The following is a 12,651-nucleotide window of genomic DNA, read 5'->3' as shown; positions in this document are numbered from 1 at the left end:
CCAGTGAGCTGATTAATTGGTGCTGGAGAGATCAATAAAAAACAGAAAATTAAAACAATTTTAAAGTGATTAAGTAGTTTAACACCTGTCTCCCGTCACGTCAGCGCAGGAAGAAAAATAAAGCAGGTGTCGAAGGGGCCTCCTGAACCAAGAGAAAACAGCGCCTGCCTGGGAGAAATGACAAATCACAGCTGGCGGATCAATCTGCGTATGCACAGCCCTTCCCCAAGCCCACGCCGAGCAGCAGGAACCGGGACCCCGGCCCCAGGCTGGGCCCTCCCAGCCTCTCTTTCCAGCCTCTCCTGCAGAGGCTGAGCAGGGCCTCCGTGCCCCCCACCCAGCCCTGACTCCTCAGCAGGGAGGAGCAAGGTGTTTGTCTGTATTTGGAACACAGGGCAAGAGGGTGCAGAGGGAGCCTCCGAACATCTGCCTAGGACTCTGGATGAATCAGAAGGAAAGGCACCAGTTAACCTCTTGATCTCACATCCAGCCATCCAGAGCTGAGTCTGTGCATATGGAGGGGTTCAAATGCACTGAAAGTGCATTTTCGTCACCTGGGCAAGGTGTGTCACACCTGTAATCCCAGCACTTTGGGAGGCCAAGAAAGGAAGATTGCTTGAGGCCAGGAGTTCAACATCAACCTGGGCAAAATAGTGAGACCCTGCCTTTATAAAAATTTTTAAAAATTAGCTCAGTGTGGTGGTGCGCCTGTAGTCCCAGTTACTTGGGAGGCTGAGGCAGGAGGATTGCTTGAACCCAGGAGCCCAGGCTGTAGTGAGCCATGAACATGATCACACCACTGCACTCCAGCCTGGGCAACAGAGTGAGACCTTGTCTCTTAAAACAACAACTGGGCCGGGCGCGGTGGCTCATGCCTGTAATCCTGGTCAGGGGTTCAAGACCAGCCTGACCAACATGGTGAAACCCTGTCTCTACTAAAAAATACAAAAATTAGCCAGGCATGGTGGCACGTGCCCTGTAATACCAGCTACTCAGGAGGCTGAGGCAGGAGAATTGCTTGAACCTGGGAGGCAGAGGTTGCAGTGAGCTGAGATCATGCCATTGCACTCCAGCTTGGGTGACAGAGCAAGACTCTGCCTCAAAAAACAACAACAACAACAACAAAAAACCCCAAAGAAAACCCAAAAAATGCATTTTGGGACCTGTGGGTTCAAGGGAAGGGAGTGCGGTCATGGCTACTCTTGGAATTACCAGTTCTCCTTTCTTACTCTAAAGGCAGACAGAGCCTCCTGACATCCCCCTTGCTGTGGCTTCCTGCTGGTGACATCAACAGGTGGTACAGGTACCTGCCGGGTGATGGCCCAAATGCCCCTTGTCCTGCCTTTAGCCAACCTCACTCCCTGATCCCCATCAGCAGCTGTAATGGCAGCTGACAAGCAAGAGCCATTCCTTTCCCAGTTTAATGTATTTGACTCCTGCATAGGAAGTAACCTCATGGAGTACGAGAAAGCCTGAGATGGTTCTTCAGCCTCCCCAGCAAAGTGCTCCTAACAGTGCAGTGGGATGGGTGTGGGCACAGGAAGTGAGGTGTCGGGGAGCCAGCGCAGGCTAGAGGGAAGCCCCCAGTGAAGCGTTTCAGAAGTGTCCTGCTTAACCCTGAAAGTGGACTTGAAGTCTCTATGTGTAAAATGCCAGGTGCTCCTACAGTTCCCCGTGTGCTGGGAATCCACAACCATGGTGTCCTCCGGCTTCGCTGGCCAGCCTGGCACATTCCTGGGGGCGGGGCTGGAAGTCCTTGGAAGAGAAACTAGGTCCTTGACCAGCCTCCTGCACATGGGCACAGCCTGGACCACACTCCTGAAAACCACTCTACTAGCATTTGCCTGCTCTGCGGGACATTCATACCTGTTTGTTTTCTGCCGTCCAGCTTCCTAACCGCCTTCAAGGTCCCCTGAGACCAGGAGAGAGAAGGAAATCCTAACAACCCCAGAGAAGGCCTGCAGTAGGTTGGAGCGCACTAGGGCCTGCAGCCACACTTCTTACTGAGAGTCCTGCTGTCAAAAGCCCTTGTGTGTTCCTACCTGCCACACTAAGCATGAATGGGAAGTCCGCAGCAGCAGCCTGGACGAGGGAGGGTCAAGAAGAAGGTGTTCCAACTATTTGCTTTAATAAAAACGTTTACTAGAAACACTAGAAAGTGTTTTCCCCCTCCCGCTCCCCCTCTCCCTCTCCCTCTCCCTCTCCCCACGGTCTCCCTCTCCCTCTCTTTCTACGGTCTCCCTCTGATGCCGAGCCAAAGCTGGACTGTACTGCTGCCATCTCGGCTCACTGCAACCTCCCTGCCTGATTCTCCTGCCTCAGCCTGCCGAGTGCCTGCGATTGCAGGCACGCACCACCACACCTGACTGGTTTTCGTATTTTTTTGGTGGAGACGGGATTTCGCTGTGTTGGCCGGGCCGGTCTCCAGCTCCTAACCGCGAGTGATCCGCCAGCCTCGGCCTCCCGAGGTGCCGGGATTGCAGACGGAGTCTCGTTCACTCAGTGCTCAATGGTGCCCAGGCTGGAGTGCAGTGGCGTGATCTCGGCTCGCTACAACCTCCACCTCCCAGCCGCCTGCCTTGGCCTCCCAAAGTGCCGAGATTGCAGCCTCTGCCCGGCTGCCAACCCGTCTGGGAAGTGAGGAGCGTCTCTGCCTGGCTGCCCATCGTCTGGGATGTGAGGAGCCCCTCTGCCTGGCTGCCCAGTCTGGAAAGTGAGGAGCGTCTCTGCCCAGCCGCCATCCCATCTAGGAAGTGAGGAGCACCTCTTCCCGGCCGCCATCACATCTAGGAAGTGAGGAGCGTCTCTGCCCGGCCGCCCATCGTCTGAGATGTGGGGAGTGCCTCTGCCCCACCGCCCCGTCTGGGATGTGAGGAGCGCCTCTGCCCGGCCGCGACCCCGTCTGGGAGGTGAGGAGCGTCTCTGCCCGGCCGCCCCGTCTGAGAAGTGAGGAGACCCTCTGCCTGGCAACCGCCCCGTCTGAGAAGTGAGGAGCCCCTCCGCCCGGCAGCCACCCCGTCCGGGAGGGAGGTTGGGGGGGGGGTCAGCCCCCCGCCCGGCCAGCCGCCCCGTCCGGGAGGGAGGTTGGGGGGGGTCAGCCCCCCGCCCGGCCAGCCGCCCCGTCCGGGAGGGAGGTGGGGGGGTCAGCCCCCCGCCCGGCCAGCCGCCCCGTCCAGGAGGTGAGGGGCGCCTCTGCCTGGCCGCCCCTACTGGGAAGTGAGGAGCCCCTCTGCCCGGCCACCACCCCGTCTGGGAGGTGTACCCAACAGCTCATTGAGAACGGGCCAGGATGACAATGGCGGTTTTGTGGAATAGAAAGGGGGGAAAGGTGGGGAAAAGATTGAGAAATCGGATGGTTGCCGTGTCTGTGTAGAAAGAAGTAGACATGGGAGACTTTTCATTTTGTTCTGTACTAAGAAAAATTCTTCTGCCTTGGGATCCTGTTGATCTGTGACCTTACCCCCAACCCTGTGCTCCCTGAAACATGTGCTGTGTCCACTCAGGGTTAAATGGATTAAGGGCAGTGCAAGATGTGCTTTGTTAAACAGATGCTCGAAGGCAGCATGCTCATTAAGAGTCATCACCACTCCCTAATCTCAAGTACCCAGGGACACAAACACTGCGGAAGGCCGCAGGGTCCTCTGCCTAGGAAAACCAGAGACCTTCGTTCACTTGTTTATCTGCTGACCTTCCCTCCACTATTGTCCTATGACCCTGCCAAATCCCCCTCTGCAAGAAACACCCAAGAATGATCAATAAAAAAAAAAGTGTTTTCCCTTTCCTACAACTTCCCCTGGGTAAGAATTCTGGTTGTATCGTCAGTGGTTGGGTTGATCTATGTAAGACCATCTGTTTGGGGCCATATTTGTCTCGATAAAGTGCCAAACTCTTTACAGCAAACTCTATGCCAATGAAAATCTCACAAAAAGGCATTTCCAGTCTTCAGCTATTGGCCCACACTGTAAGAAATAATCCACACAGCCCGATTGCTGCAAAAGACTGTCTCCTGCCACATCTTCCTGCCACAGGTGACTCTGGTGGCGATTTGGCCAGGAAGGAAGCTAAAGGGTCCTGCCACACGAGCTTCTCTTGTTGATGACAGATGTCTGCTGACAAAGGGTGCCTGCCCCAGGGTGCATCCCCAGCTGGGAGAGGGCCGGTACGTGCCATCTCAGAACGCAGCCCAGCAGAGGCATCCAGCCCTGGCACCTGGGCACTCTTGGAGGCCAACACAAAGTTCTCAACTCGGCGCCCTCCAGCCTGCAGCTGATCCCTGCAGAGTAAGCCTCAGGCTGACGGAGATAAAGTTTGCCTGGGCCCAAGTTCCAAACTCGGCCGTTTTGTTTCTGTTAAAATGCAATTGTTTTTCTCTGGAGTGTGTGGTGACTGCTCCGCGTCAGGAAGATGTATGAAAACCTCCACTTCAATTCGGCATCCCTTTTCTCCCAGACAAACACGGTCGGATTTTAATAAATCAAAGAGCCACACTGTTTAATAAAAATTTATTGACTTACAAGTGATTATTTATCAAAAGACCATTAATAGCAGGTACTGAAATGATGTGTTACTGGGTGGTGCTGGGAGACTAATAGGAAATCAATGCAGCTGGCCGGCCAGAATGCATATGAGAAGCCCACCCCCCGGCAGCCAGCGCAATCACCCCCGCAACACACGCCAGGTGCCACCCCTGGCGCAATGAAAAGTTCCCCCTTTTTATTTATCGTTTACAAATGAAATGATCAATACTTTTAATCTAGAGCAAAATTTATTAACTTTCCCATCGGAGAGAGACATATTGACTGGGGGAGAGAGTGGGGTGTGCGTGCTGTAGAAGATGGATGGCTGCGTGGCCATATCCTAACCTGTCCGCGAGGCAGTGCACCTGCAGCTGCCCTTCCAGCCTACGGACCGGGCCACCTGGGACAAGTGCACCTGGAGAAGCCGAGTCTGGCCACCCGGGATGCACAGCAGGCAGGTGGGACCTATGACATGGGGGGATCCTTCATGCATCAGGGGACACTAGCAAGCAATAGCCCAGAAAATCAAGTTCCTGGCCAATTCCAGGAAGGAAATGGCAGGATTCAGAGACCCAGATTTCCACAGGACAACAGGGTTAGTGCCCACTGTTTGCTGTGCCGTGAAGGTCACACGATGGCACCCAAAAATGCCTGTCACTGGTCTGGGAAGGGCATTTCAGGGATCTGGAGCACTCCCCCTGACCCCTCACACATCAAGCCTCTTCTCTGAAAGGCAGCACCAGGGACGGATTCTGACACGGTGAAGCATCAAGTCCCAAGGCTGGTTCTGCTGTCAAGGGAATCCCACTAGCTTTATTAAAAAGTTCCCTCTTGGCTGGGCGCAGTGGCTCACGCCTGTAATCCCAGAACTTTGGGAGGCCAAGGAGAGTGGATCACCTGAGGTCAGGAGTTGGAGACCAGCCTGACCAACATGGTGAAACCCAGTCTCTACTAAATACAAAAAATTAGCTGGGTGTGGTGGTGCATGCCTGTAATCTCAGCTACTTGGAGGCTGAGGCAGAAGAATCACTTGAACCCGGGAGGTAGAGGTTGCAGTGGAGCTGAGATTGTGCCATTGCACTCCAGCATGGGCAACAAGAGTGAAACTCCGTGTTTAAAAAAAAAAAAAAAGTTCCCTAACTGGTGGGTGGAAAGTCTCATGTTTGAGTAAAAAAGGCTGTCTGAGAACCACAATGAAGATACTGCCCAGCCTGAGAGCAGTATGGCCCCAGCCCCATGGCTGCCTAAAGCCCTTGAGGTCACCCTCAAGTGGGTTAGTTCCACTAGCCCTGATGTTTTAGAGAAGCAATGGATTCAAAGCTGACTTCCCGTATTTCCAAACCCAGAAGACTTCAGAGATCAAAGCCAAAGTTTGAACTATGGGCTTAAAAACAGAGAATTCAGAGGTGGACGAGGTCTCTGAGGTCATCTAGCCAAGTCCCTAGTTATGACTCAGGAGACGGATGCAGAGAAGTGAAGGTGCAGCAGGCTTGGAGGGGGGTTAGCAGCTGACCAGCACTTTCCACTCATTACACCACTGGGTGTCATTCCCAGCTCAGCCCCACCCTTGCTGGGGTAACAGGAGGGAACACATTATTTTGTACTTTGCATGTTTCTAAGTGTCTTGAGTTTTTGCCCCATAAGACCAACTCGGTTACCCCAAACCAGATACTCTGACTATGGGTCACTTGGGGCTTGCAGGACCCCTAATTTAAAAGGATGGAGCAGTCGCCTGGATGATGGTAAAAGGCATACACGGAAAGGGGAGGTTACGTTTCTGCAGGCGTGAATCAGTGCTCTCCTCACTGCCCGGCCCGCACAGGACTTCCCTCCACAGCACTGACTCCACGTGACTTCACACCAGGTGCGGCCACACCTGCCGGCAGGGGCCGCAGACAGCTGTGCTGAATGTGAGACAAAAGCAAAACCTGTGTGTGTGTGTATATATAAATACCTATGCAAATCACGAAAGTAACAAACCATAAAGTTTCAGATGAACTTTTTAAAAGAGAACCTGATCTTTTAAGACCAATTACTGATCCCTCCAGTTGGTTTACAAACACTGTAAACATCACCTATAAAAGCTGAAAATCACTTTTTATTCTTAAGCATTTTGTAAAACAGTTCCTAAGAGACTTATTAGTCATAACACTGACTTTATTTTTTCAGTCTTCATTTGAGAGCAAAAAGATTTCCCCCGGGCTGGCAACAGGGCAGGTGAGGAAATGGGAGGCTCTCCCAGGGAGGTCACAGGTAGGTGCAGAGAAAAGGAGATTGCAGGGCCAACCCAGCAGGTACCACATGCAAAGTGGATCTGTCTGCAGCCCCAGGAGCACAGCTTCACTCCCACCCACTCCCTGAACTGCAGGCCAGAGGGCGACCTTGGGGACGTGACACTCAGCACCACAGGCACAAAATCCTGAGAGGCATCATGACTGTGCCACGAGGGAGCATGGGTCCCAAGTGAGGGCTGGTGGGGCATGAATGGGGAGCTGAGGAGCATGAAACTGGTGAAACCCCAGAACCCACAGGGGCTGCTTGGCCTTGGCTCTGCCTCCACTGTGACTGTACAGCAGGCACCAGTGGCCGACTCTTTTCCTGTGGTGCCTGCTCTGGCTGTGCAGAAGCTGCCATGCAGCACATGCCCTGCCCACCCTGCCCCTCTGCAGCCCTCCCCTGTCCCTCCCCTGCAGAAGCCACCATGCAGCACAGGCCCTGCCCCGCCCCGGCCCCTCTGCAGCCCTCCCCGGGCCCTTGCTCCTCCCCCACCCTGGAGTTTACTCATTGCTTCCCCTAGGCCTCACATCAGCGACCCGCACACACCCCGTCTCTGGAGAAATCCACGTCTGTGCTGGAAATTCTAAATTAACCAAAGATCTGCAAGCATCTGAGACGAGCTGTTCACCTTCTGAGCTGCAGGGTTCCTCGCTCCAGCAGTCAGTTGGCTTCTCCGCAGCCCCAGGGCCATGCTCCCAGAAGAGAACGGGAATCCTCACGAGAAGCCTGCTACTCAGGGCCACAGCCAGGGGAGAAAGTAAAGGGAGAAGTCCCCCAGTTCATTCACCAGCCAGTTTTATTTACTCACAAGAACAAATCCAAAGCCCAGTGCAGCAGCTCTGAGCTCAGGCCTGCCGTGCCCCGTTTTGTGGGCCTGTACTTGAAACACTGAACGTGATGTGTCCTTCACTCACCCGCAGCACTTTAATCCCCACAACAGCCCTGTGAGGTAGGAATCACCACCATTCCCCCCGACTCATATTACAGATGGGGAAACCGAGACACACATTCAACAAAGCGCGCATCACATGGGGAGTTCAGGGTTAGCCTGGAGTACGAACACACGTTCTCCCCATGGCCCAGTCAGCGGCCCACCTGGCCTCTTCCCCTCCCTTTAGTAACCCCATCAGCAGCAGCATAAAAATCTAACCCTTCATTTTGCTGAAAGCCCCTGCAGATGACAGTTTCCTTCCTATCATGTCTGCAGAGCTCCAAGGCTGGGGGCGATGTTGAGGCCGAAGCCAGCCACAGTGCCTCAGCTGTGCCTTTCCTGGAGAGCGGGTGGCCGCCCCCAGCACATCCCTGGCACACGGGCTTGCATAACAGACTCTTGTACCGCCATCTCTAGCACAAGACCATGGCCACATCTCCCCAACCACTCAGCCCGCACAGCGTGCAAAGGTGGGGAGTTCACTTTAATGGCATTCCTCCAACGACTTATTGTAAAAGAAACAAGGCATCTCGTCCTGGGTCGCAACACCCAGCAGCATCCGTTTAGACCACCAAGGGTAGGCTGCGCCGGGTGCACAGGGATCCCGCTGCGGCTCGGCGAAAGCCGGAGTCCTGGGATCCAGAGCAGCCCGGGGAGCCCTGGAGTCTGGAAAGGACACAGCAGTGGGGGCGGCGGCGGCAACTCCAGCTCTGAGCCCGTTGGCACCCCGCACGGTGGCCCCAGCCAGCTGGAGGCAGGCTCAGGAGCGGCTCCTGTCCTTGTGGTTCCCCACGATCATCTTGCTGTACAGCTTCTGCTGCTCCTCCTTGAACGTGTCCTTCACCTTCTCCCTCTTCAGGCCCCCATCCCTGGAGAGACAAAGGCTGGATGTAGTAACAGCCAAGAGGGCTCCCAGCCACGCTCACACCATGGGAGATGCACCATGCTGCCCAAACACCAAGAAAAACCTGCCAGAAACAGGGTACCCCGTGGCACTCTCACCAAGACAACCTCAGGGGATTTGGGGCTCCGGGATCCCAATATCCACCCTTTCTATCTCAAAAGGTCTACCCTTGCCCTTGGGTGAGAATTTACTACTCACATTCAAGGTACTTGATAACTGCTTAAACCTACCAAGGAGTTTACAATTCTTTCTACTCTAACATTCATCTTCACCTCACAAAGGAAAAGGAGGAATTCTGGCATTATGGAAGGTAGACATGCTTTAAGAAATATCGACTCATAACGTATCTGTAAAATCTATCTGTAAAATGTCATTTGTTTAATTCAGACCCAGGGATACTCTGAACTCATGCAGAGAGCTAACACAAGGGGTAACGCGTGTTCTGACTTCTTCCATGCTCAAAAAAAGAGTGCCGTCAGGAATGGAGGTTTACCTCCGGGGCTGCCTCTCAGAGTTCCAGCCTCACTGCCCCCGTGCCTCCCTGCAGCAGCCCCAAACCAACCCACCAGACTTGGGATTGTTTCATTACAGTCCCATTGCCTCTTGCCTGCTGGCCCCCTCCGTGCCTACACTCTAGAATTATCACCACCTTCAACAACTTATAAAAATCCAAGCCCGCTTTCAGTCTCTCCGCTACACCCTTTAAAATCCATAGCAAAGGCATAGATTTTAAAAGCAGCCACTCTGTCTTTGTTAAACTTCAGAGATGGGAACATGGGGCAGAAGTTAAACCTTCAAGCTCTAAAAGTCTGTGAGATGTGGGTTCAAAATCTAGCTCCAGTGCTAATGTTATGACTTTGGAAAAAAGTGATTTGAGTCTCAGTTTCTCATCTGCAAAATGGGAACACTGTTTACAGCGCTGCGGCTACTGTGAGGGCGAAAGAGACGATCACACAGGGCCCCAGCAGCTCAGTGACTGGCACACAGTGAGTGCACAATCCACACTAGCATTTTTTAAAAGGCCATCATCTGAGAGCCAATCTATTCCCTGAGACTCTACAGTTGGGTTTACAATGTGAATTTCTACCCTTTCTTTTCTCATAGATAATGCCCATCTAAGTCAAATGCTCTCCCCAGTTGACCCTTGGCTCTTAAACCTAAATGCCCCACAGAGTGGAAAACTTTCTCTGAACCAGCATTGACCCCTGTCAGTCTCCTACTGTTTGGGATAAAACTACCTCATACTCTAGTATAAGGGCTGGTCAAATGCAGCCCACGGGCCACATCCAGCTGATACCTGTTTTTGTAAATAAAGTTTTATTGGAACACAGCCATGCTCATTGGTTTATAGACTGTCTGTTTTCACACTACAATGGCAGAGATCATCAGTAGCTGCAACAGACACCATATGGCCTGCAAATCCTAAAATATTTACTGACTACAGAAAAAGTATGTCAATCCTGCTCTATTAGGTAACAAGCTGAATACACCAAACACAACCTTTACCTTTCTAAGAATGGTTCAATTTTGCCAGATACACTGGGACCTGGGAAAGTCCTCCTTCCTTCTTGAAGTTTTCAGATCAGTAGCAGGTCATGCCCACCCAGAGATGGGCACTGTCCAGGTGTCCTGGAAGACTGGTTCAAACCCCAGAAAGGTACACAGAATCAACTGCCTCAGTCCAGGCATCCCTGATCCAGGTTCCCCAAGGTCAAGGAAGCACAGGGCACTTCTGGGTTGGAATTCGGGGAGAGTCAAACTGCTCTCTCTAGAGCTGACAAGTTTAATTCTCCACACCACGGGGAATGACATGTAAGTGAAGTCAATGACACAGCATCTGCTGCAGAAACTCAGCTGAAAAGGCCTGGCTCTAAACTTACCACAGCAGGTCCACAAGTCCTCCCTGCCTGGCAATGGCAGATTTCACCCTATTCGCAAACTGGACAGCATCTTCATCTGCCTGTAAGAAAGAACAAATGAGACCACTCAGCCCCGGCTTGACGTTACACAGAGCAGGCGCAGACCTGCCTGGGGCAGGCACTCACCTCTCTAGTCATGGGAGGCAGGTACCACACGCTGCAGACAATGGCCCAGCTGGTCATCATTCGCAGCAGGTACGTCACCATCCCGTATTTGCTGCTGTTCCAGAAGGCATCGCCAAATTGAGGGTCATACTGAAAACAATGGAAAGCTGGAGGTAAGACATGAGTAGTTCTCACAACGTTTGCGAGTCCACAGTGACTGCTGTGAGTGACTCCACTGGGCCGTGCTGGTACTGGGGTGCTGCTCCCTGACCTTGCATGAGTACTGTGGAAGCCCCTCTCCATGTGGCCGGTTCTGACTGTGAGCAACACTGATCTCCCCCGAGGAACCCGGCCTCTGCTACAGATCAGTAAGGAAGGCTCCCCTGACAGCCTGCCTCAAGCAAATGTCTTCCCTCCTTGATTAGTTTCAGGTCTTACTCATAGGTATATAAAGTTTTCAAACATCTCCAAAACCAGGGAGAAAAGGATCATGCACTCCCATGTACCCATTCCCTGATTCAACCACCGCCAACGTTTCCCACTTGCTCCACCTGTCCCCTCTCAGCATCCTGTCATTCATCTAGTGTACCTCCCCCAAATAAAGATATTTTCTTACACAAACACCAACTTTTAAATATGATTTCTGGTGCCCAGACCAGGGAGGAAACTATTAGAAAGCTTCTACATTTACACTTCCAACAAAGTCAGTCGTCTGTTCAGGAGGCGGCTCTGTGCTCACGCTGACAGCCTTGGGAGGTCTCAACCACACAGGCCTGCATCTACCATGAAGCAGGTATCAGATCCTTTCATTATTTCATTGGCATTTTGCAGAAAATGTAGCTGCAGCTGTGACCCACATTCTCACCAAACAAGTAGCTGGAGGGGCAGGTGAGCAGGGTAGGTAAGCTCTAGAGGAAGTTGCGCAAGGAGCAACAGGAGGACCTGGGTGCTTGAGAATGCCTGGACAAAGTGCCTGGTGCTGCCAGCGAATGTCTGAAGGGATCCTGTACACAAGGCAGTAGGCTGACCTTGTGCAAACACCCAGGACCAGAGTGGAAAAATAAAGGAGCCAGAATTTCAAGAGTTATGCCACACGGCCATGCTGCCAACAACATCAAAAATGCCCTTTCCCTGGGAAAGCCTGAGAAGGAGCCCAGGGCAGGGTCCTGCATGTGGGATGGGCTAGGGTTGAACTCTATGATCTTATAGGCCTTTCCAGCCTAAGTTTTATGATCCACAGTATAAATACTGGACAATTTTGACAAGACTGTGGCCCTAACTACAAAAATGAAGATAACTTAGGCTTAATTATAGAAGCTAAGAAAATTAGATTTAACTACAGAAGACTTAATGTGTTATTATAATACCAACAGAAACAAGGGAAAATAATAAGTTTTTAAAACTAAGCAATGTGTATGATCAGAAAGTATTTTTTTAATTTTAATTTTATATATAATAATATACATTTTGAGACAAGAGTCTCACACTGTCGCCCAGGCTGGAGTGCTGTGGCGCTATCTCGGCTCACTGCAAGCTCCACCTCCCAGGTTCACGCCATTCTCCTGCCCCAGCCTCCCGAGTAGCTGGGGCTGTAGGCACCTGCCACTACGCCCGGCTAATTTTTTTGTATTTTTAGTAGAGACGGGGTTTCACCATATTGGCCAGGCTTGCCTCGAACTCCTGGCCTCAAGTGATCCACCGGCCTCAGCCTCCCAAAGTGCTGGGATTACAGGCGTGAACCACTGCATCTGGTCATGTCGTTGTATTTTATAAAGCCTGATATGGACAGAAATTCTGATGTCACCAGAGTGTGAGAACCCTTTGTTTCGGGCTGATTCTCTATTCCACACTGGGCAGTGTGTGTGGACAGAGAAAAAAGGCAGAAGCTCAACACAGCGACACACTCCTCACATCAGGTCATGGCTGGATTCCGGTGGAAATATAAGAAGAGCCTTGAAATCGCTAAGGTTATCCAAGTTTGATTACCAATAAAGAGTT

At 52.2% G+C, this 12,651-nt stretch overlaps 1 protein-coding gene across 7 annotated transcripts in view, besides 1 other annotated feature; it reads right to left on the bottom strand.

Moving 5' to 3' along the window:
* Positions 1 to 4,485: 4,485 nt before the first annotated feature.
* Positions 4,486 to 12,651, bottom strand: part of GPAT4 (glycerol-3-phosphate acyltransferase 4) — a 46,802-nt gene continuing 38,636 nt past the window's right edge. For all 7 annotated transcript variants that reach the window (XM_047421370.1, NM_001363198.2, NM_178819.4 and 4 more), the window contains 3 exons: positions 10,675 to 10,803; positions 10,510 to 10,589; positions 4,486 to 8,594 (listed from right to left, as the gene is read on the bottom strand). In XM_047421370.1, the coding sequence (XP_047277326.1) occupies positions 8,486 to 8,594; positions 10,510 to 10,589; positions 10,675 to 10,803 (318 nt within the window). In that variant the 3' untranslated portion in view covers positions 4,486 to 8,485. The remainder of the gene's footprint in view (positions 8,595 to 10,509; positions 10,590 to 10,674; positions 10,804 to 12,651) is intronic.
* Positions 6,387 to 6,486: an enhancer, noted in NCBI's record as "active region_27290". NCBI's record gives its function as "activates an Ori minimal core promoter by ATAC-STARR-seq in GM12878 lymphoblastoid cells {active_cell/tissue: GM12878}" and the evidence as "EXISTENCE:reporter gene assay evidence [ECO:0000049][PMID:35858748]".

Source organism: Homo sapiens, chromosome 8 (assembly GCF_000001405.40).
Source record: "Homo sapiens chromosome 8, GRCh38.p14 Primary Assembly".
NCBI classification, from domain to species: domain Eukaryota; kingdom Metazoa; phylum Chordata; class Mammalia; order Primates; family Hominidae; genus Homo; species Homo sapiens.
This window is presented reverse-complemented; position numbering and strand designations above follow the sequence as displayed.